At 53.7% G+C, this 24,707-nt stretch overlaps 1 protein-coding gene across 2 annotated transcripts in view, besides 4 other annotated features; it reads right to left on the bottom strand.

Annotated features, from left to right (window-relative positions):
- Window positions 16,278-16,824: an enhancer, noted in NCBI's record as "H3K4me1 hESC enhancer chr3:126680947-126681493 (GRCh37/hg19 assembly coordinates)". NCBI's record gives its function as "activates a minimal SCP1, AML or CMV promoter by ChIP-STARR-seq in primed H9 embryonic stem cells {active_cell/tissue: H9 hESC(primed)}" and the evidence as "EXISTENCE:reporter gene assay evidence [ECO:0000049][PMID:30033119]".
- Window positions 16,825-17,373: an enhancer, noted in NCBI's record as "H3K4me1 hESC enhancer chr3:126680398-126680946 (GRCh37/hg19 assembly coordinates)". NCBI's record gives its function as "activates a minimal SCP1, AML or CMV promoter by ChIP-STARR-seq in primed H9 embryonic stem cells {active_cell/tissue: H9 hESC(primed)}" and the evidence as "EXISTENCE:reporter gene assay evidence [ECO:0000049][PMID:30033119]".
- Window positions 18,471-19,018: an enhancer, noted in NCBI's record as "H3K27ac-H3K4me1 hESC enhancer chr3:126678753-126679300 (GRCh37/hg19 assembly coordinates)". NCBI's record gives its function as "activates a minimal SCP1, AML or CMV promoter by ChIP-STARR-seq in naive H9 embryonic stem cells {active_cell/tissue: H9 hESC(naive)}" and the evidence as "EXISTENCE:reporter gene assay evidence [ECO:0000049][PMID:30033119]".
- The window catches only part of CHCHD6 (coiled-coil-helix-coiled-coil-helix domain containing 6), a 256,181-nt gene continuing 249,981 nt past the window's right edge, over window positions 18,508-24,707 (bottom strand). For both annotated transcript variants that reach the window (NM_001320610.2, NM_032343.3), the window contains exons 7-8: window positions 21,377-21,512; window positions 18,508-18,732 (exon numbers count right to left, since the gene is read on the bottom strand). In NM_001320610.2, coding sequence (NP_001307539.1) covers window positions 18,727-18,732; window positions 21,377-21,512 — 142 coding nt within the window. In that variant the 3' untranslated portion in view covers window positions 18,508-18,726. The remainder of the gene's footprint in view (window positions 18,733-21,376; window positions 21,513-24,707) is intronic.
- Window positions 24,208-24,297: an enhancer, noted in NCBI's record as "active region_20445". NCBI's record gives its function as "activates an Ori minimal core promoter by ATAC-STARR-seq in GM12878 lymphoblastoid cells {active_cell/tissue: GM12878}" and the evidence as "EXISTENCE:reporter gene assay evidence [ECO:0000049][PMID:35858748]".

The following is a 24,707-nucleotide window of genomic DNA, read 5'->3' as shown; positions in this document are numbered from 1 at the left end:
ATTCCTGCCTGAGCCCACTTTGGAACTGGCACCACCACTGCCAAATATTCCTAACCCATCCTTGTCTCACTTCCCCTGCTTCTGTCACCTCCTGCCTGGAGGACATGGGGACCCTTAGTTGCCAGCGCAGTCCTCCCAACTCTGCTCTCCACACTGTGGTCCACAGGGATCTAATAGACAGCTGGGGAGACCCCTCTGCTCAGACCCTCTAGTGGCATCTTTTAACACATGAAATGCCTCCACACATGTGCACACATACGCACACACACACTCAAACATACAAACACACACATACACTCATGCAAACACACACACAAGTGCAAACACGCATGCAAGCACACATGCACACACAGGCACACGCATGCATATACTCAAACATGCAAGCACACACACACATGCAAGCACACACACATGCAAGCACACACATGCACATCCACTCACACATGCAAGCACACATACACACGCTAGCACACACATGCAAGCAGATACACACAGGCACACTCACACACACATGCACACACACATGCAAGCACACATGTACATTCACACATGCAGGCACACACGTACACTCCACCATGCAAGCATGCACACATATACTCATATGCAAGCATGCACATGCACATCCACTCACACATGCGAGAACACGCACACTTGGACCTGCTTCCCACCTCTCTCCTTCCCGTGCACACATGCCAACCTCCCTGTCCCTTGGCACACAGGTTCATCTTCCCCCTATGTCTGTGGCACTTACACCCATTCTCCCACCTGGGAGACCCTGGGTGGCCCTCCTCCCTCTGACTTCCCGTGTCACCACTTTATTGTCACTGTTCCCTCCCTTGTCCTCCCTGCTTATGGTGTCAGGGCCTTGTGCACTTTGTTGTCACCCTGCCTGCGGCCTGGCATGGAACAGATGCCCCCTGTGCCGGGTCGTGAGTGTGGAGCACTGTGGTCATCTCAGCTCATCCCCACATGCCCCTGTGGGGTCAAACTGTGAGCCTAGGCCCACAGGGAGCCGCTGACAGTGGACGTAGGGGCAAGATGGAATCACTGTTGCATTCTAGGAGGCCCACTTTGGCCACTGGGTGGAGAGGACATTGGGAGCTAGCATGGATGTGGGGAGACTGCTGACTATTGCAGAAGCCTGAAAAGAGGTGATGCCTATGGTTGGTGTTCACGGACTCATCCTCCAACTCTGAGGGTTTTGCCTGATTATCCTCCCTACACAGGAGGAGAAGGGCTCAGCCCAGCTGCAGGCATGCCAAAGAGAAGGCTCACCCAGCACCATTCTCTGCCCACCCCTGCTGCTGGTTGCAAGTGACAGAAACCCAACTGGACGTAGGCTCCAAGAGGCATCTATTGGCTCAAATGAGCAGCAGCTCAGACCTACAGGATCTTGGGCACAGCAGGGTTCTGCTGGCCACTGGCTTGGTTCATGCCCACACAGCCCTTCTGCTCCTGGTGGCCTTGGCAGCTCCAAGCTTTTCTTTCCTCATAGGTCCAGGAAAGTTCCCAGAATGAAGCCTCAGTGAACCAGATTGGATCGTGTAGCCCCCTTGAACCCATCACTGTGGCCCTATAGTTGGCTGAGATCAGGGACCTCTCCAGAGTGAGTAGGTGGAACTGGGGAAGTGGTTACCCCAAAGAAAATCCAGGTGCAGTTTTCAAACAAGTGGGCCTGGATGCAGGACAGGTCAAACCCACCAGGAGCCACTGCAGCCCCGATCTGCACCTCCACAGCCAGCACAGCCCACCCGCTGTCCACCTTCCGCCACATCCAGCTGGGACCAAATGCTCAGCACGCACAAGGCAGGAATCCACGTGCTTATCCGCTGAGCTCCTCTATGAGGTGGGCAGACTGCTGTCACCCATCTACACATGTGGACACAGCAGCAAGTCAGGGGCTGTTCTGACCAAGGCCACAGCCAGGTGGTGGTGGGGCCCAGTTTCCAGAGCAAGTGGTGTGGCTCCCCTGTGGGCGCTGCAACCCATGTTCTGCCATGTGGCACAGTGGGTAGTGTGGAGATGCCTGCGCTCAGGACCCTGTGGGGCCAACAGGCCACCCTACAGCCATGTCTCCCTGGTACCCAGTGCTCTTTGCACACTGTACTCTTGCTCCAAAGACACCTCCACATCAGGCCTTTCCTCATGCTGTGCTCCTGGCCAAGAGGGTCCCCACCTGGCCCTTTCCTCTTTATTTTTATTTTTATTTTTTTTTAATTTTGTAGAGATGGGGTCTACCTATCTTGGCCAGGCTGGTCTCAAACTCTTGGACTCAAGTGATCCTCCTGCCTCAGCCTCCCAAAGTGCTGGGATTAAGGCGTAAGCCACTGTGTCCAGCCACCATTCATTTTTCAAGGCCCAAGCTCCTTCTCCCCTCCTCCAGGAAGCCTCTCTGCAGCCCCCACCCCACCCCAGGAGCCCTCCTTGGCTTCCTTTCCCTTTGACCACTCTGGGCGTAGGTCTGTCACCACCCCACTCCCGGTCTGGAGACAAAACCAGGTCAATGTCAATACTTTATTGCACAAAAGACAGAGTAGCAGAGTCCCTCCCCCTGCCCCCCACCTGCCCACACACATGCAAGCAATCCCTGGAGACTGGGGGGACTTGGCACTGCCTCCTCCTGGGGCTGCAAACTCAGATGACTTCAGGGGCCAAGTAGTTGATGGAGGTAAATAGTGAGATGGGCCAAATGCCGGAGCAGGCCAGGGCTGCAGCAGCAGTAATCGGTGGAATGCATGCACATGTTATTGGGAGAGTGTGGAGTGAACAAGACCTTTCAAAAGTGTGAAGATCCCAGCCAGCAGGCCTCCAGTTTGCAGTCCGTGGCTCAGTCCAGCTCCTACCACTCCCAGAATGCTGCTTGTCATCCTGGGGGTCACAGTCAGGTCACCAAAGATGTTCCCAAGTATGGGAGCCCTCTCCAGGGCCATAGCCTCTGGAAAAGCCATCCCTGGCACCCTCTTTTTAAGGCCTAGCAGCCCTTGCCCCCACTGCCCTGCCAAGAAGCAGGGCAGCAAGAGATCAGCCTCCTGCTTCCCTGGAGATGAGGGAAGCAACCCAAGTTTTCTCATTGTGCTAAAAACACCTGGGTTAAAGTGGGGATGCTGGGTTTCCCTCCCCCATTCCTGATGTAATGGGGCAGCACCCCTCTCTGTCTACCATATGGGGTCAGGAGAGGCCAGCTGTGAAACAGAAGATTGAAATGTAATCCAGAGTCTCAACATACAATACCCCAAACTTTCAAGATCCAATAAGAAAATCACCTGTCATAGCAAGAACCAGAGAAATGTCAGTTGTACCAGAAAATACAATCAGCATACACCAATACTGGTATATGTTGAACAGGAAGGAATATCAGGATTACCTGATGAGGCTTTTAAAGCAGCCATCCTAAAGGTGCTTTGATGAGCAATTATGAACATGCTTGAAACAAATGAAAATAAAGAATGTTTCAGCAAGGAAATAGAAGTTATAAAGAGAACCAAATGGACACTTTAGAATTTTTTAAAAACATACAATAATCAGAATAAAAACTTAATCGATAACTCCAAAGCAGAACAGAGGGGACAAAGGAAAGATGCAGTGAACCTGGAGATAGAGCAATATAAACCACCCAGTCTGAAACAGAGAGAAAATAGACTAGGGGTGGGAGAAAAGAGTTCTCTGAGAGATAACAAAAGATCTAATATTCATGTCATCTAATTGCCAGGAGGAGAAGAGAAAGAGGACAAAGCCGAAAAAATATTGAAGAAGCAATCTCCTAAACTTGGCAAAAGACATAAATGTAAGGATTTAAGAAGCTGAATGAACTCCAAACGTTATAAACCCAAGGAAATCCACACCAAGACATATCACAGTCAGACTTCCAAAAACTAAACAACAACAAACCCCAATTTTGAAAGCAGCCACGTAACCACCTTCCAAAAAACATGGATGTCTCATCAGAAAGCATGGAGGCAAGAAATAAGTGGAACGTTTTTAAGTGCCATAAGAAAAGAGCTGTCAACCATAAATTCTATACCCAGTGAAACTATCCCTCAGGAATGAGGAGGAATCAAGACCTTCTCAGGTGAAGGGAAAAGTAAGTTTGTTGCCAGCAAACCTACTGTGAAAGGAGGGCCAAAGGAAGTTCTTCTCATGGAAAGAAAGTGATAAGGAAGGAATCTTGAGACATCAGGAAGAAAGTACAATGGAAAGAGCAAAACTATGGGTAAATACAATGGACCCCTTCTCTGAAGGTTTCTAAGTTACATTTGGTGGTTGAAGCAAAAATTATAGCATTGTCGAATGTCTCAATGTATGTAGAAAAAATATTTAGGATAATTATATTATAAATGGAAGGGGAAAAGGGACACAAAGAGAGGGAAGCTTTCTACATGTCACTCGAAATGGTAAAATGTTGATGGCAGTAGACTGTGATAAGTACATATGTATAATGCAGTATGGCAGCCACTAGAAATCTATACAAAGATATACACTAAAAACACTGTACAAAAACCAAAATAGATGCTTAAATATGTCCAAGTAACACTCAGCAAGGCAAAAAAAAGAAAATAGAGAAACACCACCACCAACAAACACAGGAACAAACAAAGCAAAAAATAAAACAGCAGACTGAAGTTATGTCAGTAATTACAGAAAATGTAAATGGCATAATTCCATTTATATAACATTTTTGAAATAACAAAATCATAGAGATGGAGAGGAGATTGGCGGCTGCCAGGAGCTGGGGTAGGGGGGTGATTGTCACTGTGAAAGGGAGTACCAGGGGGTCTCCATGGAGAGGGAACAGCTCTGTATCCTGGTTACAGGGACAGAAACATGGATCTCCATGTGTGATAAAGTGACACAGGGCTTGACACCCTTGTCACACCAGTGCCAATGTCCCTTTTCTGATGTGTGGTGGTTATGTAGAATGTGACCATTGGGGGAAACTGGGTGAAGGGTACACAGGCTTCTCTCTCTATTATCTTTCCAACTTCCTGTGAATCTGTAATTGTTACAGATTATCATTATTTCAATATAAAAAGTTAAAAAAAATACCTTTGCTGTTGCTCTTACACCAGCACCAACTCCACTGCTGGCGTTTCCTCTTGGGCAGAACCAGTGCCCTGTGCACCCCCATAGAGCTCACAGGCCAGCAGGCCTCTGGGGGCCATACCCAGCAGAGGCCATCACAGCAATCCTGGGCTGGGCTGCCTGGTCCCAGCTCCCAGAGCCATCTCTTCCTTCTCCAGGCCTCAGAGCTCATATCACCTCTTCAGAGGAGCCCCGATTGATTCCCTGATGGAAAATGCATCCCAGTCCCATTTAACCAACTGATAGTCTCTGGTCCATTCAGCTGTTTATTATTCCGGCCCCACAAATAGCAGCTCTGCAAGCCAGGGAGCCCATCTTCTCAGGGGCACAGAGCCTGGTGCCAGGCAGAGCATCCATCAGGGGCTGTGGGGGTGCAGTTGCTATCAGTTGCTGCAGCATCACAAGTCGCCCTAAAATGTAGTGGCTTCAGCCAGTAGCTGCTCTTCTCTCTTATGGTCTCTGCAGGGAATTCAGAGAGGACAGTGGGAAAGGCTGGTCTCTGTCCCAGTGTCCGAGGCCTCAGCTGGGACTTGCACAGGCTGCAGCTCCTCACCCACCTGTCTGGCAAGACTCCCCTGGGGCGGGGCTCTTTGGCAGCTCTGTCTAGCTCTGTGGGGCCTTTCCACAGCCTCTCCAGCATGGTGGCTTCAGGGCAGCCGACCTTCTTATGTGTCCATGCACAGCTCCCATCCAGGGGGGCAGGGAGAGGAAGTACAGAGGAGGAGAAGCGGGGGTTTGGGGCTCAGAAGCCTGGAGGGCACCACCGCTGGGCTACGCTGCATCAGGCAGATTGGTGACAAGCCCCATGGCTCTCCAGGGAACAGAGCACAGCCCCCTCTTCTGGCAGGGGTGACAGGCCCACTGTGCATTGCAAAGCCCTGCAGGACGGATGTGCAGGGGAGGCAGTCTTTGGAAAACACAATCTGCCACCTGACCAGCAGCAGGCTGCCTCCAGGGGCCTGAGCTGCTAGCCTTGGATTCCAGCCCCAGCCATGGAGAGCCTGCTGGGAGCCCCCTACCCACCCCCAGCCCCATGCATGCCTCTTTGCAGCAGCCTGCACTATTGATGGGTTGGTGCATGGGTGGGAGTGGAGCTGGAAAGGGAGGGTGGGAGTTTGGGGATCTCTTCTAACCGCCATGCCATACTCTGCCTCAGCCCTATGGAGCAACCCTGGCCCAGCGGGGAATGCCACCATGGCAGCTGGGGGCTCATCTGAAGGAGCACAGGGTTTGAAGGCAGCAACATGGGGTCCCCTCCCGACACCATCCCTCAGTGCCTTTTCGGGACCACACCACAAATCACGTGGCCCTGGGGTCTCTGTGAGGACCAGAGCAAAGAAATTTGAAGGGCCGGCCCTATGCCAGGTTCCCCAAGGCATCTTGACCACCGGGTGGGTGGGGAGGGGCCACGACTGCCCCCTTTACATGGATGAGGAAACCAAGGCATGAAGAAGTGACAGGCCCCAGGGGCATACTTGGCAACTGCTCTGGACAGCCACAGACGGAGCCACAGAGGCCCCCGGAGGAAGCAGAGAGTCGCCCTCCCCCTGCCAGCCTCTCTTCCTACCCTACCCCCACCCTCCATCACGGGGGTGCTTTGTGCTTTCCCCGGTTCACCACGAGCTTTGCACATGATGCTTGTTCTGCTCCTCTGTTCTGGAGACAGAGGGAACAACTTATTTCCCCTGAGGTCACCCTGCTGACCTTCCTCCAGCCCCCGCACAGGCTCCTCCTCTTCTGGGAAGCCTGCCTTGAAGCACCCGCCCACCCGGCCTGGGTTGGGAGCAGCTGCAGCTCACCACAGGGCATCACCCCTTGTCCTGGGCCTGCGTCAGAAGCAGAGGTGTCCCGAGGCCCTGGTGTTGCCAGCATGGTCTGCATTCCACAGAAAATGCGCAGGCAGAACCAGCCCAGCTCTCCTGTGCCCTCAGAAGCCCAGGCCAACCGAGTTGCCCACCCTTCCTGGGCACGTGGTGTGCCAGGTACCAGCCCCAGGGACGCAGGCCCACTGAGGAGGGGGCAGCAGGGCAGCGAAGGGAGGAGCTGGACCTGAACACACAGCACCTAGCTCCAAGCCCCATGGCCTGGAGACCCCATCCAGATGGCAGAGCTTTTTGGGCTCAAGGAATAAACACCAAAATGTTTAAAATATTTAAACATTTAAACATTTAACAGCCAAAGCTAGGTGCAGTGGCATGCGACTGCAGTCCCAGCTACTTGGGAGGCTGAGGGGGGAGGATCACTTGAATTCAGGAGGTTGACTCCAGCCTGGACAACACAGTGTGACTCCATCTTTAAAAACTGAAAAATATGTATATGTTTAACAGCCAGTCAGAGTAGACACCGGACATAAACCATGGGCAGGACAGCACCGGAGGAAGCTGGCTGAAACCCGGCTTTGCTTCATCCCAAGGGACATTCATCAATGTGCTTCCCTGTCTGGCTTCAGGCAGGGCTGAATCCGGGGACTCCCATAATGTCACCAGGCATCTATTTCTTGGTTTCACCTTCCTCTGTGTGCATTCCCAGGTGTGGTGTCCCTACCTGACCCTTTGCTGCAGCCACTAGGAGGAAAATACAAGAGACTTTCCCCAACCTGGAACAGATGCTAGCAGTCTCCCCAACTTACAGCTGCACTCACCTCTCAACTTCACACTATAAGGTGGGGATGGTGTGGGGACAATTGCTCTGATATCACAGCCACCGCCGCCCCAAGTACACTTTACCCTTTGAGTTGTCTGGCCTTTTTTTTTTTTTAAGATGTTTTAATTATTAAAATATATGCTCGTTGTAAAAAAAAAATCCAAGAAATGCATAAAAGGATACAATGAAGTCGGCCTCCCTCCAGCACCTGCCCCCAGCTCACCAGAGCAAAAACTGATATGGGTGTCTCCTGTGTCCATGAAGAGACGTATACACTGTGTCCAACGTGCAGATACAGAGGGACATCCTGCCTCTCTGCAAAAAAACATACAAACTAAGAGCTGCTTTTAGATAGATCTCTCTCTCCTCCCTTCTTTCCTTCCTTTTTCCTTTCCCTTCTCCCTCTCTCCTTCTTATTTCCTTCACATACAATGCAGTCCCCAATCCTTAGGCACACAGCTCAATGAATGCATCTTTACACTTCTACACAAATACATGTGTAATCTCCACAAAACAAAGGTTCCTTCTGACCCCACCCCTCGCCCCCCAGAGAACCCCTATCCAGACTCCTTCACCATAGGTTAGTTTTGCCTATCTTTGAACTTCATATAAACAGACCCATCCAGTACCATGGCAGACATACTCCAGGTCTCCCATGAGTCAGATCTCTATAATCCCCCCCACCTTAAGTGTGTGACTTGCTTCCAAGCAATAGATTGGGCAAATGTGAAGGCATGTCCCTCTCATGATTATGTTACACATACAAGGGATCTCTTTGCTGGCAATGGAGAGTCTGTGAGCAAGTCTCCAGGCAGGGGACGACTGGTGGCCTCTAGCTGAGCTGATAGCAAAAAGACAGCCCATCGATCCTCCAGCAAGATAATGAATTCTGCCAATATCCAGGTGAGCTTGAATGAGGAGCCTGAGCTGCAGAGAGGAACCCAGGCTAGCCACATCTGGAGGGCAGTCTTGGACCTCGCTGCACCACACCAGAGCTCTGACCCACGGAAAGCAGGGGACAGACATATATTGCTGCAAGTGACTGTTTGTGGTCATTAGTTAGGAGGCAGCAGAAAGCTAATACAACCGTGAATTTTTCTGTATCTGCCTCTGTCTCTCACCGCGAGGTGTCTGAGAGATCCATCCATGTTGCTACAGGGAGCTCGAGTGTGTTCTTTTTCGTGATGCTGTAGTATTTCATCGTGTGAATAAACTACAACTTAACCATTCTACTTTCCATGGGCACTTGGGTTATTTTAACCTTGTGGCTGTGATGAGTAAGGCTCTATGAACATTCTTGTGCGTACTATTTAGAGGACATACATATTCATTCTCTTGGGTATTAACTCAGGAGTAAGATTGCTGCATCGCAGTGTAGGCGAATGTTTAACTTTGTAAGGAACTGGCAAGCCATTTTCCGAAGCAACTGTCATCCTTTCATACTCCTCACAGCAGCAGTGAGCCCCCGGGGGTTGCTCCTTCTCACTGACGCTGGGTATTGCCTGTCCTTTCACCTCAGCCATTGCTTGGATGTAGAAGCACTTCCTGGTGGTTTCAGTTTGCATCTCCCTGGTTAGTCGTGATGATGTGGAATAGTTTTTTTCTTATGCTTACTGGTCTCCCTGGAGGATTTTCTAATATTACTTTGTTAGTGCTAGGGTTTTTTTTTTTTTTTATCTGACCTTTAACCCTGAGCTGGAAGTTCAGGGAAAGAGAAATTCACCTTGTAAGGTGAGCATTGCTGGAGACTCTCACGGAGACACACGGGGTGCCTCACCTCATCTTGGCCTGGTGAGCCCCTCAGCAGAGGACCTTGCTAAGCTACACCAGAGCTTGGACCCATGGAAAGCTGGGAACAAAACAATGGGGACAGAAAGAGCTGGGCTGGAAGGAGAAAGCCCAGGTCCCAGTAACTGTGGTTAAGCCTCTAGATGCAGCTGGCCTGAAGCTCACTCCTGGACTTTTGAAGCCCACACATTCTTTGCGGTAGTCAGTTTCAGCGAGGGTTCTGTCACGTGTGCGGGAGGGGGTGACCGACACCGAGCCTCTGTCCAGCAAGCTGACATTTGGAGGCCCCCCAAGCTCTGCAGCATGGGAAAGGGTAGAGGGGATCTCTGCCTTCCAGGCACTCCCCCATCCCACCCACTGCTAGTCTGCACCCCACTTCATTACTGAGTGTGTTTTGAGGCTGAATAACCATGTAATTGGCTCGTCCATTTCATAGTCAAACTTCGGCAAATATGTTTTTCATAATTAGTTGATGTTTATTTAACGGGAATAACCAGCCCATTAAATTTAATGAGGCAGGTTATCACATATGAGGGGGAAGTGTTTTTCCTTATAGAGAACCCGGTTTGGGCGGTGCTGGTCCCAGGGCCAGGGCAATGAGGTGGCTCGCCTGTGTGTGGGTGTCTCTCCTGGGAGAGGAGGCGTGCAGGGAACCGCAGCCCCTGTCCCAGCCTGCTTCGGGCTGTCCCATCCCCTCTGCTTTTTCTGCATTGTGTACCACCCTATAGAACCTGTTTTTGATCTAGTCTGTCTCCCCCACTGATCTCTAAGCTCAGAGGACAGGGCTTTTCCCTCGTGTTGCTCATGCTCCATCTTCAGTAGATGAAACACAAAGGGTGAATAAACAACGGAGACCCCTCTTGCGGCTGCCACTCCCATGGCTTTATGGGCCTCCCTCTGGCACACAGTCGCCTCCTGCCTTGTCCCTCCTCCCCCTTCTCCTCCTCCGCAGGGTTTATGCCCTTGCCTCTCTCTGCTTGGCAGGCAGGGAAAGCAAAATACTCAAGGAGATCCAGGCTTGGCCTGGGGGCTGAACAGCTGGGCCCAGGTAGCACCCACTGAAGACCCCAGATGTGTCGGAAGAGCGGACCCCGGCCTGGCCACGACCCGACAGGCCCAGACTGTGGAAGACCATGTCCAACATCTACATTCAGGAGGCTTCTAGCCTGGGGGTAATAAACAAAATTCAGATTAACTTAGAAAAACAGAAAATACAGTCAATTATAAAACAAAAACCAAAACATCCATAATCCTATCCCCAGAGAAAAGCGCGATAACATTTTAATGTCTAATGCTGTTGACCTTTTTCTCTGGGCATCTATATATTTTTACATATGCATAGGTAAGATTTTTTTCATTTAAAGAATGGGTTTGTACAGTGCATGCTACTTCTTTAAATGGAGTGGAGAAAGTGCCACGTGAATACACTCAGTATCCCTATTCTTAGAGGCTTTAGAGCTGTCTTATGGAGGTACCACATTTTATTTCATCCCCTATTGTTGGGCATTTAGGTTGTTTCCAATATTTTGACACTATTATAAACACTAGTGGCACACACTTGTAGTCCCAGCTACTTGGAAGGATGAGACAAGAGGATCGCTTAAGCCCATGGGGTCAAGGCTGCAGAGAGCTAGGATCGAGCCACTGCACTCCAGCCTGGATGACAGAGTGAGATACTGTCTCTAAACAACAAAAGAACCCCCACCCCCTGAAAAAAGCATGAACAAAGCAGCTCCTTCACCTGGCTAGCACCAGCTCAGCCCTCTAACTTCGCATCACCTGGGCCAGGGGTTCTCAACTCCCGGGCTGTGGACCAGTACCAGTCCCTGATCTGTTAGGAACGGGGGCGGTGGGCGGCGAGCATTCCCTGAGCTCCGCCTCCTGTCAGATCAGAGGCAGCATCAGATTCTCATAGGAGTGCAAACCCTATTGTAAACTGCACATGCGAGGGATCTAGGTTGCATACTCCTTATGAGAATCTAGCTCATGCCCAGTGACCTGAGGGAAAACGGTTTCATTCTGAAACCATTCCCCACTGCCTCGACCCCATCCATGCAAAATTTGTCTTCTACAAAACTGGCCTCTTGTGCCAGAAAGGCTGGGGACCACTGACCTAGGCCAAGCCCTAAGGCCCTGAGCTTGGGGGCCTCACCACAATTGATGGCAAATGTCACCTTTCCTGCTAGATCCTAAGCCCATGAGGAAATGGACTGGTATCATTACTGCTTGGAGGGCACCTGGGATAGAATGGGGAGAGCGTAATGTTAGTTCTCTGTGTCCCTTGAGCAGCTGACTCAGAGATAAACCTGCAGGGCAGTTCTCAGGAGGTACCGGGGTCCACACCCATGTGGTGAGGGAGGGGGCAGTGGGCAGAGGGTGGGCTGGGCTAGCTCCTGAGTTGGGATCCGCTTCCAAGTCACTCCCAGTGAAGACACCCTTTATACCCCACCCCATCACCAGGCAAGGGATGAAGCCCCTGGCCCCCAGGGCGTACTGTTGGTGAAGTGGCTCTCAGCAGCCAAGGCCTTCCTGGGGGGCAGACTTGCCCTGCCTGTGTTCCCAACTCCATGAGCGTTCAGCTCCCTAAGGGGACGGTGCCTATGCCTGTCCCCACTTTACACATGAGAAAACAGACTTAGATGTTCAGGAGTGGCTCAAGGCTTGGATGCTCCGGCTCCAGGGTGGGCGCTCCAGGGCTATGTGTGAACAAAGGGAGGAGGCAGTGAGCAGACATCAGGACGAGCGCCCAGGACACAGGACCTGCACACATGCTTCCTTCCTTAGGATTCGTTCTTAGAACTAGAATTGCTATGCAAACGGTGTGCACATTCCCAAATCTCCAGTGATGATTCCGGATTGGGCTATTGCTTTTTCCATTCTGCCAGTTTGGCTTCCTGTATTTTGAAGCTCTGTGTTAGGTGCACGCATGTTTTATTTCGGGGTTCTAAGTCTTCCTGTGAGCTGTCCCTTCTGTTATTCAAAATGCCCCCCCTTTGTTGCCTATAATGCTTCCTGTCTCAGTCTGCTCAGTCTGATACTAATACAACCATTTCAGCTTTCTTACAGTTTGCAGGACTATCTTTTTCTATTCCTTTCTTGTCAATCAACTTGTGCTCTCATAATTAAGGTGATGTCTCTTGTAAATAGCAAACAGAGGAATGTTGTGGGGTTTGTTTTGCTTGTTTTTGTGAGTTTGCACACTCTGAAAGGCTTCGATGCTTTTCACCCAATGAGTCCTCCCAGAAGGTCTCAGTGATTCATCTCCTGTGGCAGCACCACGGTGACCACTTGGCACCTTCCTGGGTGCTCCCACTCCCCTCCTAGCCACCTGACTCTAGGCATCCGTGGCCACATCTGCACCTTTGGGGGTGGCAGTGCCACGGGAGGGTGAGGTGGCAGTGAGAGGCTGAGGCAGGACCAGTTTCTCCCACCTCACCTGGGCTGTTGTTCCAGGGCTCACAGCCACCTTGCTGGTGATGCCTGGCTTAGATCCCCGCCTGGGGTCACTGGACTTCCCCAGGCCAGTAATGATGTGGGAAGGAACAAACTTCAGCCATTTCTGCCAGGGGCCACCTTCCCCATCTGGAGAGGCGAGGGGAATGGACTGGCCCCTCAGCTGAGTCCCTGGAGCTGAGCGGAGTAAGACTCTGGGTGTCAGAGCCCCGCCCGGCACACAGCCAGGGCCCTGACTCCAACAGCAGGCACAGTTTGTTACTGGGCACAGGACTCTGGAGCCAGGCAGCTCCAAGCCCAGCCCTAGCTCTTAGACTGCATGATCTTCGGCAAATCACTCACACGCTGTGCCACAGTTTCCCCACTTATAAAATGAGGATAACAGCAGTATCTACTTCACAAGGTTGTGTGAAATCTTTACCAAGTAGGTATTTATAAAGGGCTCAGCACAGTACCTGGCACATGGTAAAGGTCTGATACATGCTCAGTTTGATTATCAGCACTATTCTCTGCAGGCTGTCCTGTCGACACAAGGAATAAAGGTGCACAGGTACATGCACACACCTGCCATTCCAGCTACATCTTACATGCCCACCCGAGCATAGGCACACATGCAGGCACACACACACTCAACACAGCCCACACGGTCCCACTAATGCGCCTTCCTGGGCCTTTTTCTCAGACCCACTCCTTTACCACAGGGGGTGGCCGGCAGCAGCTCCTAGCTGCCTCGGTTCCAGCTTCCCGCCATGGGAGGCACTAACTACGGCTAAGGGCAGAGCGAAGCCAGGGAATTTCCACCTCCTCTGCCACGGGTAGCTCTCTCAACAGCTGCTGTGTCTCCTCAGAGGCCCCAGCTTCCCTGTGCAGGGCCCCTGCGGTGCCAGCTTCCATTGGGTGATCTTGCCTCTTCCCTCTGTCTCTGCAGCCCCAGGTGGCGGGAGGTCCTATGGCTGCTGATCTGAGTTACCTCTCACACTATCCCATCTGGGTTTTCAGTTCCTCCATCTCCTTTGTGACCAATCCCTTGCATTCAACTCCCCCTGCTCAAAAGCAAGGGTGCTGTTTTCCTGGTTGGACCCTGAATGATACAACCAATGTCATCACCAAGCAACTGGTGGGATGAGTATTAATACTCCTGCTTAAGGGTCACTCAGCCAGGGCATGAGCCTGCAGCACCCGCCTCCAGGTGCACACCCTGCTGGACACACCCCTCACCTGTGCATTTCTCTCTCAGACCTGACCTCCTACCACACACGTGGAGGTACTGAGGTGTAGGTACACATGAGAGCACACACACATTCACATTCCAATGCAGTGTTACAGATGGCTCCAGCACACACACAGTCTCCAGCAGGGGAGGGGCAAAGATCTGGCTCTGAGAAAGTGGAGAAATGAGATGATATCCAGGCTGGGAAGAGCCCGTGAGGATCCGCAGGTGCCGAGCATGGCTGGCTGCTTGTGCACAAACTCAAGTACACATGCACAGACATGAACACATGTGAATGGACAGGTACACACACACATACCTATGCACATGCTTGCACATGTGTGCTGGCACACCATGCACTCACGTGTGCACACACATGGATACACACGCAGGATGGACATGTGCACACAGACCCATACACACACACTTGCGTACTTGGACACACAGTTCACATGAATGCACACACATTCGCACAGTCATCCTGCATGGTGGACACCGAGACCCAAGGAGAGGAATGCACAATGTCATGTGCACTGTCAGGAGCTCGTTCCCTCATCCCAATCCAAAGCCCCCAGAAAACAATGAGGGAGAAAGAAGTGGATAGAAATGGTTGAACATGCCCTGGTCCTTCAGGGGTGCTGGAGTTTGGGGAGTAGAGCCCCATCCACTGGAGCCCCCCAGGCCTGGCCTCCAGCCCCTCAGGTGAAGACTGTAGGGACTCACTCACAGGAGCCTCCAGCCTCTACCTAAAGGTGTGTAGCTGTGGGTGGGGGCACAGAGGGGTGGAAGTCGGAGCTGGGACCCTAAGGATGGATAGGAGCTCACCAGGTGAGGTGTGTGTGGGTGCCTCACTTCCAACTGGTCTGGTTGAAGAAATCCCAAAACGCTTCCCCCACCTCCCTATCAGTGCCTCAGACTTTGCCACTAGCACGTCTGTCTGCTCCTCTCCAGTTACAAAGTCCATTCCTGAGTCTTGCCCTGTGGTCCCTATGGCAGAGTCTGTAGCTGGGCCTGGGATAGCTTCTGAAGCTGCCCTGAGGGGAGAGTCAGTGTAAGCCAGTGCTCCCCTCCCCAGGCTGGGAAGAGTCAAACCTGCCACCTCAACTTGGCTCAAAGGAAAGGGAAGCCAGGCGCTGACAGCAGATCATTTGCTTCCCAGAACAACGCTCTCTCACAGAGAAGTCCTGTTGCAAATGACAAAAACCCAGTTCAAACAAAAAGGGAAACTTGCTAGCTCATGTTAACTTCAGGTCTGGCTGGATCCAGGTGCTCAATGACCTTGCACAGTCTCTCCATCCCTTGGCTGTGTGCCTCTGCTGGCTCTGCTCTCTAGAACCCTCTCCCTGTGTGGAGGTGAAGGTGGTGGGAAGGGGGGAACAGGAATCGTTGATAGAGTTGGGGAGAGTGGTTCTTCAGAAAACTTGAAAAGCTATTTCTAAAAGAAGACGGGTGGATGCAGAGTGGGCCACAGGTGTTCCCTATAAATCTTAGACACTGCTTTAGTTGTTCTGTAATGAGGAAACTGAGGCTCAGGCCTAAGGGAATTGCTGGCCTTTCTTGGCAACCAACAGGAGGCAGAGTCAGGATTTAAACTGAGGCCCCCAGGCCTGCAGAGCCTGTGGATTTTCCTGTGTGCACCGGGCTCCCTTCCTGCCTGAACCCACTACAGGAGGTGCCAAGACCCGGACTCCAGGGAGATGCCAGCAGGCCCGGAAATGCTGAAGAAGCTGGTAATGGTCCTTACATCTCATTCATTCACTAGTCCTGGTCCCCAAACGACTCCCTACCTGCCTATACCAGGGACCACAGGGGTGGCTAATGGGAGCCCACGTCAGGCTGGTCTTGAGAAGCTGGCAGGCTGTGCACACACTGTGTTGCCTTTGGGTTGGAGGCCTGTGTCGGGGCTGGGTGGGCACCCAGGAGGAGGGCTGCGAGGACTCACACAGGGCTTAACCCTTGAGTAATGTGGAAGGAGACCAGAAGCTCCCGCACAGAGCCTGGAAGAGGAGGAGGCTAGAGCCTCAGGCGCGGGCCATGAGCCAGACATGGAGGTGGGAAGTGGACAGACTGGTCAGGGTCAGGCGTGAGTCTTATTTTCAGGACCAAGTGGAAGTTTATGAAAATCCAGCAAGATCTGGGGACAGATGTGTGGATTTGGGGGTGTGGGAGGCCCAGGGCTAAGGACACTATGGGGAGGAGGGAGAGGGGTAGGCAGACCTGGCCAGCCAGAGGCAGTGGGGGACCTCAAGGAAGGGCCCTGGATTCTGCATGAGCCCCTACAGAGCCTTATGGCCCCTGCCCTGCACCTCCCACACCTGTGGCCTTGCTTCCCAGCTCTGCTCTTTGGCCTTCAAACCTTCATCAGCTCCTGGTCTGAGTCAATCATGCAGTGACGTGCGGGCAACGGTGCCATCTCATGAGGCTGCTCTACCAGCCTCTGTCTCTGGATGCTTCTTTGCACAGGCCCTGCCCAGGCAGGAAAGGGCTGTTGCTGCTACCCGCCACTGCCACTGCCGACCTCGTTCTGGCCTCATTCCCAAAGCAGGAGGTGGCTTTGTGGAGCTCAGAGGCCAAAGAGGTCTTTTCACTCCTCTCAGGCCAACTGCAATCTGACCAGACTGGCTACCAGGGAATGAAGGAACCAGGGGTTGCAGGCAGAGGATCAGGAAGTGCTTGCCCCTGGAAGCTGGCTCTCTGGCTGTGCTGGAGCCTGAAACTGGAACCTGAGCTAGCCTGGAGAAGGAGGGGCCATTTGGAAGAAACCATGGGGCCGCTGGCCGCTGGACACAGGAGGCCATTTGAGGTCACAGGTCTGTTGGCTGACATGAGTGGGCCTGGGCCGTAGGCTCCACCCAGCAGAATCATGAGCCACATAAAATGGGCGTTGTTTTAAGCTACGAGGTCTGGGGGTGGTTTGTTACCCAGACAGAGCCAGCTGGTACAGGCTCAGACAGCATCCAGCCCACAGGTGTCTGTGTACCTGGGAGTCTGTTTCCCACCCCAGGATGCGTCCCCAACCCCCAAAAGTGACACCTGGAGGAGAGGATGAACAGCTGAAAGTTATTCCTGTGAGATCTGAAGTTGGACAAAGCCCTGGAAGCCAAATGCTTCTGAGGGAGTCAGAACAGCATGGTGGATAGGCCTGACCTGTGACCCCTCACCCCTCCTCTTAGTAGGCCCCTCCCTGAAGGGCTCAGGCCAGGGTGCCCAGTGCACCCCACCCCTCCTCGCCGCATCACACCACATGGAGTCTCCTTGTGCATTTCCACAGGCTGACCCGGGACTCCTAGAAAGGGAGTCTCCCAAAGCTGTCTGTCTGGCTGCTAGTATACTACCCGCCCAGCCAGTAGGACACGCCCAAGCCCCAACCCACCCCTTGAGCTCTGAGTGTGAGAATCTGAGAAGGGAAGTTTGTGCTGCCAAGCCTGAGTCAAGGCTGCAGGCTTTCAGCTCCAGATGGCATGGGGACTCCCCAAGGGCTCTATCAGGAAACCCAAGGTCACCGGCAGAGCAGTTAGAGGATCCCAGGCTCCAACCCAAAATCCTCCTGCTGGCGTGGTACAGGCTGAGTGTGGTCAGGGCACCTTGGCTGGAGGACGTGGCTAAAGGACAAGGACTGGAAGTCCAGTGTTTGGACACCAACCAGGCAGAGCATGTCCCAAACCCACTTTGTCATCTGCCCTCCTCAATCCCTGCATTCCTTATTTTAGAACCCCCAACACCCAAGTCAGAGACTTCAAAGTCACCTGGCCTCTTCTGTCGCTCAGTCGGTTTCAGTCCTGCCAATCAGCCCCACTAACCCGCCCTGGGCTTGAGCTGTGCGGGGCCCTCCACACTGGTGATGTTCCCTGGCATCGAGTCCTGTCTCCCTGGCACCACCTGACAGCCGGAGCAACATCACTCAGAGACAGTGCCAACTCAGCCTGCTGCACTGCAGTCCTGCCGCCTCTGCAGCCGCGCCGCCTGCCTGCCTTGACCACCTTTGCTCTCCTCCACTGCCTGCTGCCCTCACACCTGGGATCCCCTCTGCTGGGTCTCCGGCCCGCCCTGCCCTCGTCTGGTCAGCTTCCGCCCCGGGCGCAGGCAGCACTCGCTGCAGGAAGCTGGCCTGCTCTCCCTCTGTGCCATCCCTAGAAAGGCCTGCTCCCTTTCCTTCTCCTCCCTGTTTCCGCGGCAGCCTGCTGCTGCTGCTGCTGCTGCTGCAATGTAATTAGGGGTTCTCAGGCCATCTCCCCTGCCAGGCCAGGGACTCCCCGAGGGGAGCAGCCCATCTTCCTCAGCTCCACTTCGCTGGTGTCCAGCAGAGGGCTGGACGCAGAGTAGGCAGCAGTGACTGTTTGCCAGTGAGTCAACGACTGAAAACAAAGGCATCTGCTTTATTTGTTTTCAGACAGTAGCGCATACTTTGTTTCCTAAACACGTGGCAGCCCCAGGCTCAGGGGCATATGCAGGGGCCCAGCAGGAAACGGCAGGGCACAGTGGCTGTGGTCCCATGATTGGTCCCTTCTTCAGGGCTCCAAGTCACTGCCAGGGCAGGGAATGATGTCTGCTCCTCAGCCCTACAAAGAGAACAGGTCAGAGTTGAGTCAGGGCCCACTCCGCCCATGCCCTCCAGCTCCGTGCAGATCGCCCTGTGACAGCAACCGCTTCCCAGGGAGCAGCTGTGAGTTGGTCTCCCTCCTCACCTGGAGACCCATCAGTGAGTCTCTTCACCTCTGTACCCCGGAGCCCAGCACAGTCCCCAGCAACAGGGGACGGGCCCTCACTCCACACGACAGTGACACCAGAACCCGCTCCCCTTTCCTTTACTCTCCCAGGGCTGGCTCAGAAGGCAGGTCCCCTGCCCCTGCCCCCTCAACCTGCTGCGGTGTTTCTGACAAGCACCCTGGATATAGAAGAGTCTAACCCAACTCTGCTCTGCCTCATCAAGGCCTCCCCTCTGTTCTCTGATTTTTCACAGCTCAGCAGGAGCCTGCTGGGATGCTGGGGTCCGCACAGTCAGGGTCCTGTGGTGGACAGCCTGAGGCCCCTGTCCTCATCTGAGATGCCCAGCACATCTGCACACAGGCAGGTGCCAGGCTCTGGGCCTAGGCATCACCTACCTGCCCTAGGAGCCCCAGGGCAGATGTTAGATCCTGGAGAGAGAAGCAGTGCTGCCCCACCCCAAGGCCCTTGACCATGTGGGCCTCTGTCCCCTGCTGTTTGGCCCCTTGCATAAGCAAATCCCTCTTAGGGACCCTTCACTCCCCGCTCTCTGGTTCTGCCAGCAGCCTTCTGAGGCGAAGGCTGGCGAAGGGTGGTGAGAGTTTCTCCAGCACTTGCCACATCTCACACACAGGGCACCACCCAAGTGCCTGGGTGCTGGGGCTCCGAGGGAGTCAGGTTGAATATGCCGTCTCCAAATGCACACACACTGCCAAGGCAGCACGTGGGGAGAGCAGGCAGGCCTCTGGCACTGCCATTGCTCAGTCTCTGGTTTCTTTGCTAGTCATGTCAGGGGTAGGGGCCGGGAAGGAGGGAGCCAGACCTGGCAGTGTCCCAGAGCCTCTCTCAGGGAATACACTGGGGTTTAATGTGATCTGTCTTCCTTGGTAATCACATTTTTGCCTTGGTGCGAGGAAGATATATTGGTGAGGTGTGTTTGTTAAAGAAATACTCTTAGGGGTGGTGGGTAGGGGCTGAAAACTACCACAGAGGTGGGGCTGGATGGAGAGAGGATGGAGTCTAGGGCTGGCCACTGAGGCGTAGGCCCTGCCAGGAAGCCAAGAGGCTGCAGCAGATCCCTCGGTAAAGAGTTAGGTGTGTGATGAACAGAGACTCGGAGCTGCCCTTGATTGGGTGTGTGGAGGATCTGGAGGCTTCACTTTGCTGGTGAGTAGGGAGCTAAGTGTCTGGTCGGTGCGAAGGGCCCTGGTCTGGCCCAGCCTACCCAGTGCCCCAGCGCCTCCTGCCCACGTGGAAGCAGAGTGAGCAGCCTTCCATCCTCTGAGATGGAGGAGGAGGCCGCCTGTCCTACCCAGGGCTTCCCTCTCTTGGAAGGCTGACAGAGGCCTTGCGACCACTCATCCTGTGTGGAGCTACTTCTGGGCTGTGTTCTGGCCATGAAGGGACAGTCGGTGCTGGACGGGGCTGTGACCAGCAAAGAGTGGAACAATCAGCCTTGGCAGATGGGTGTGAGCAGGGCATGACCCAAGGAAGCTCTTGCAGGCCTGGGGCTGCAGGACCCCGCTCAGTTCAGTGGGACAGATCTCCCCTTGGACATGGCTGGAGAGCACAGAGCATCTGGCCTCAGCCTTTTCCATCCCAAGTACCTAAAGCAGCCTGTCTCCTACTCAGGCCAAAGAGGCTTTTACGTGGGAAAGGAGACCTCGTCCTGTTGTTTCTCCCATACATTTTCACAAACAGGCCGCACTCCTTGGGGAGCCCAAACTAGGTGTTCTGAGAGTGAATGATGCTCCCCAAGGTGGGAGCTGTCCTGTTGGGGTGGGGCAAGGGTGAGGTATGGCTGGGAACAGCCTGACTGCACCAGAGGACGCTACGGGACCTGGGAAGGGGGAGGACTTATCTAGGATAGAGAGCAGCAGTTGGGGGTGGGGGAGGAAGGCAGTAGGAGCTGGCTGGGAGCGCATCACAGGCATCCAGGACAACCGAGGCCCACTGGAGTGGGAGGTGACCAGAGAGCACATGAGGCTTGGGACCACTCACCAGGAAGGCCAAGCCAGCACACCCCTGTAGACCAGCTCAGGGCAGGGTGGCTGTGAGCAGCTTCTGATGGCCACATCTGCTCCCACTCCTCTTCCAGATGGCCTATCCTTGCTGGGACCCCCACTCTGCACTCGGGCCTCTGCCACCCTCCCACCCCTAAGTGCCGAGGGCTAAGAAGTCCCCGGCACCCACAAGGGGCCCGGCCCTTGAAGGTGGGGCCTGACTTTACCCAGCCTGCTCCCACCCAGCCTAATAGGGCAAACGCAACAGGGATCATCTCCCTGGGGCCAGATGTCCAAGGCGCTCCTGGAAGCAGCCAGGAGAGTGTGCAGGTGACTGAGGAAAGCGAAGAATCCCTCCCTTGGCAAATGCAGAGACCTCCAAGTGGAGCATCTGATTCTAACAGGAAAAGGCAGGCAGAGATCTCCAATGCTAGATAGAGGTACCTCGCCTACCTCCCAAGGCCCTTGGAAACCTGGGAGGCAGGCAAGGCCTTACCTTGTGGGCGGCGCTCACGCAGCGCTGGTATGCCTTGACCAGGTCCGAGCACAGCAGCACCTCATGCGGGCGATCTCGGTAGCAGTGGAGAATCTGGGCCTGCAACCCTGAGCAGACGGGCTCCACCCTGCGGGGCCTGCAGAAGACAAGAGCAGGCAGGCCTGGGGCTCAGGTGCCAGCAGGCAGGGGAGAGAAACAACTCACATTCACTCCACCTACCTCCCAGGCGCTAGGCTAAGTCCCTGACACCCAGCAGCATCCTTTTAACCCTCAAGGAGAAGCACTGTGCTTTCCCGTTCTAGAAATGAGAGGACGGTCGCAGGGTCAAGCCCTGTGGTGGGTGGCTTAGGCTCACAATATAGCAGACACTGAAACATGCTGTGGTATGGGGCTCCACACCGGGCTCCTTCACTGGGGCCTGTGTACACTCAGGAGACAGGAAAGCCCCACTGGAGGGCCCCCATGAGGATGGTGCAGCCCGCCTCCAGGACAACCCGCCCCGCTGTGCCCAGGATAGCCATCCCTTTATGCCTGAGACAGCCCGCCCCACTGTGCCCAGGATAGCCGTCAGCTGCTTTCCTGGGCTTTCCTGTGCCTGTGGTTTACCCGTGACTATAACCATGTGACTTATTTTTTTTCCTGATTTAAAACTAATATGCGTGCAATAAGGAAAATGAAATCTACAGAAATGTCTAAAGAAATGAAAAATGTTCTTTTTACTTCTTAGAGGTAACCATTATAATATTTTGGGGGTAATTTACTATTTTTTTCTTTCTTTTTCAAAGTAGTTTTAGAACCCACAAAAGTGAGTAAGTTCACTTTCTAAAGTTGTGGAAAAAAAGAGCAAATATAGATAAACTAAAGTCAGTCACTGGCCCAGCCTCCTGAGCGTAATTTTGGATTGGTTGGTCTCCTTCCAGATTTCTCTCTCTCTCTCTCTCTCTCTCTCTCGTGCGCACACTGACACACACAACAGCACATTCGTGCACTCCCTGCCAGCCAGGTGCTGTCCTCCGGCTGCTGGGCGTGCTCAGTGCTGCTCCTTACAGCTCTGGTAGCAGACACTATCGTTCATCATGCTGTTCACACAAATGAGGAAACTGAGGCTCAGAGAATTAAGGCCATGCAGCTGGACAGTGGAGGAGCGGGACATATTTATTTACATGGCTTTGGATGTACTGTTGCTGCTCATTTGTTTTCTTAAGTGGGTTTTAGGCCAGGACCCTTCCCAGCTGTAGACGGACCCACTGTAACACTTAACAGCCTTTCCAAATTGAACACCACTCACGGCTGAGGGCACCAAAAAGAGCTGTAAAAATGTAGAAAGCCATTCCTCAAGTTTCTTAGCAATAGAAAGGATCACTGTCACACATGCCACAGCTCCACTCCAGGTACGTGGAGAGAGAGATATGTAGGTCAGTTGCTCTCCCACCAGGGTCTCCAGAGCCGTTATCATCTAACGATAACTTGAACACAGTTCCTCAGCTAGAAACCACCAGCACCAGGATGCTCGACAGCTTGGGAACAGGACCCCATATTTAGCTGTCTTGCTCTGGAAGTCTGCGGGTGGACACTTCTGTACACTGCTGACTTAGCAGTGATGCCACCTGGGTCTGGTCTTCCCTTCTCGTCCATGTCATCCCCAGGCCACTGTATGCAGCGCAGTCCTCTCTGCAGCAGAGGTCAAAGGGAGCAGGGAGGAGCAGGTCTCTCTGCTGTCTCATCTGACTACGCGGGACAATGCTCCCCTCAAACCCCACTCCAGGTTTCTCCTCCACTCACTGTCTAGGACCAGGTCACATACCCATGCCTAACACCATCGCTAACATGAGCAGTGAGTGTCCCATGTTCAGCTAAGGCCAGCAAGACCCATCCCCAGGGCATGAACAAAACGAACAGTCCCTAAATTAAAGACGGGGAGGGATGAGTGTGGGGTGGGGTGCAGCCGCCTGTGACTGCCATGCCACACCAGCGCCAAGGTAAAGGATGTGAAGGGAGAGCACGCCTTCCCCTTCCTGCCAGGGGAGGCCATGGTGGCCCAGCCCTGGCCTGGGTCCTTGAATTCCACCCCATCCTAGCCATTGAGGTCACAATTCTGACTCAAGTCTGCATTGCATGCACCAAGTCTTAAAGGGTCCTCTTATTTCCTGAAGAGGACTGGGTGGGGGGGGTTTTATCTGCATTGACTTCTCGTTCTTACATATGCAGGGCAGATGAGCCCCTGGTGTGCAGTCCTCTGCCCAGCTCCGGAGACCCGCTTCACTGGCCTGCGTCAGCTGCCGCACAGGCGGCTGGGGCAAGAATACAGCTGGGGTGTCTGGGGCAGCCCCTGATTTGTCTCCAGGTGCTTAAGCACGGCTCCACATCTGTATTTAAGAACTGTGACATGGGTGTGTCTAGTTGTGGGCTTTTTAGGCTGCTTCTTCCTTGGGGGACGGCTGGCCTCATGGCATTTCGTCTCAGGCAGGTGTTCTCAGGGACTGCACATACAGCTTTGGTTCTGAGTGTTCTGACACCTGTTTTAGGAGCACTTTCAAGTCACAGGCCAGGCTCTCTGCCTCCATCGCAGAGGCCTCCCCTCCTGTTCTGCTCCCTGAGTCTCCAGCCTTAGAAGGCTGTGCTCTCCCCTCCCCAGGCAGGGTTAAATCTGCAGGGCAGTGGGTGCCTTCAGTGGCACTGCCAGTCTCCCTGGGCTCTCTCTTGTCACCTATACTGCTGTCCCCTCATACCAGCCTCTTGCTGTGTCTTCTGTTCCTCCTGACGGTGCTGGCCCTCTAGAGTCTGAGACCCCAGAGCATGACTTCCATCATAGCCTCTGCTGCACTCCCCTGAAGCAGGACCCCACCCTGCCCTCATGGGGCCCTGGTGAGCCTGGTTCCTGGCTGCACCGTGGAGGCCAGCAGGCACTGAGGGGACCTGTGTGTCATGGTGAGTGGCTCAGGGGAAGCCCCAGGCTTAGTCAGGGCAGAGCTGTCCTAAGCTGTAACTCTGTGAGGCTTACTGATCTATGTGAAAAGAGGTACCATAGACAGGACAGGCGGAGGCTAAGTGGCCCCAGCCTGAGTCATGTGGCTGAGCCTCATGGAGCTGGAGGGCTGACCTGCTGAGCCCTGCCCTCTACAGAGGCACAACAGAGACGCCGACACTTTGCAGAATGGCGATGTGCAGGAAGACACAGCCACATTTGCCCCTCTCCCCATGGTCAGCCTGGCTGTGTCCCCTCCTCACTGGCTTCTCCTACTTTAGTTTCAGGTCCCAGGACAAGGGCCTCTGCATTTTGAGGGCAAACCTCGCAGTGGGCTCCCAGTTTAGGAGAAACTGGGCCATGGCG

The sequence above is a fragment of the Homo sapiens genome, chromosome 3, assembly GCF_000001405.40.
Source record: "Homo sapiens chromosome 3, GRCh38.p14 Primary Assembly".
NCBI classification, from domain to species: domain Eukaryota; kingdom Metazoa; phylum Chordata; class Mammalia; order Primates; family Hominidae; genus Homo; species Homo sapiens.
Note: the sequence above shows the minus strand (reverse complement) of the source record. Positions and strands in the feature narration are given on the sequence as shown.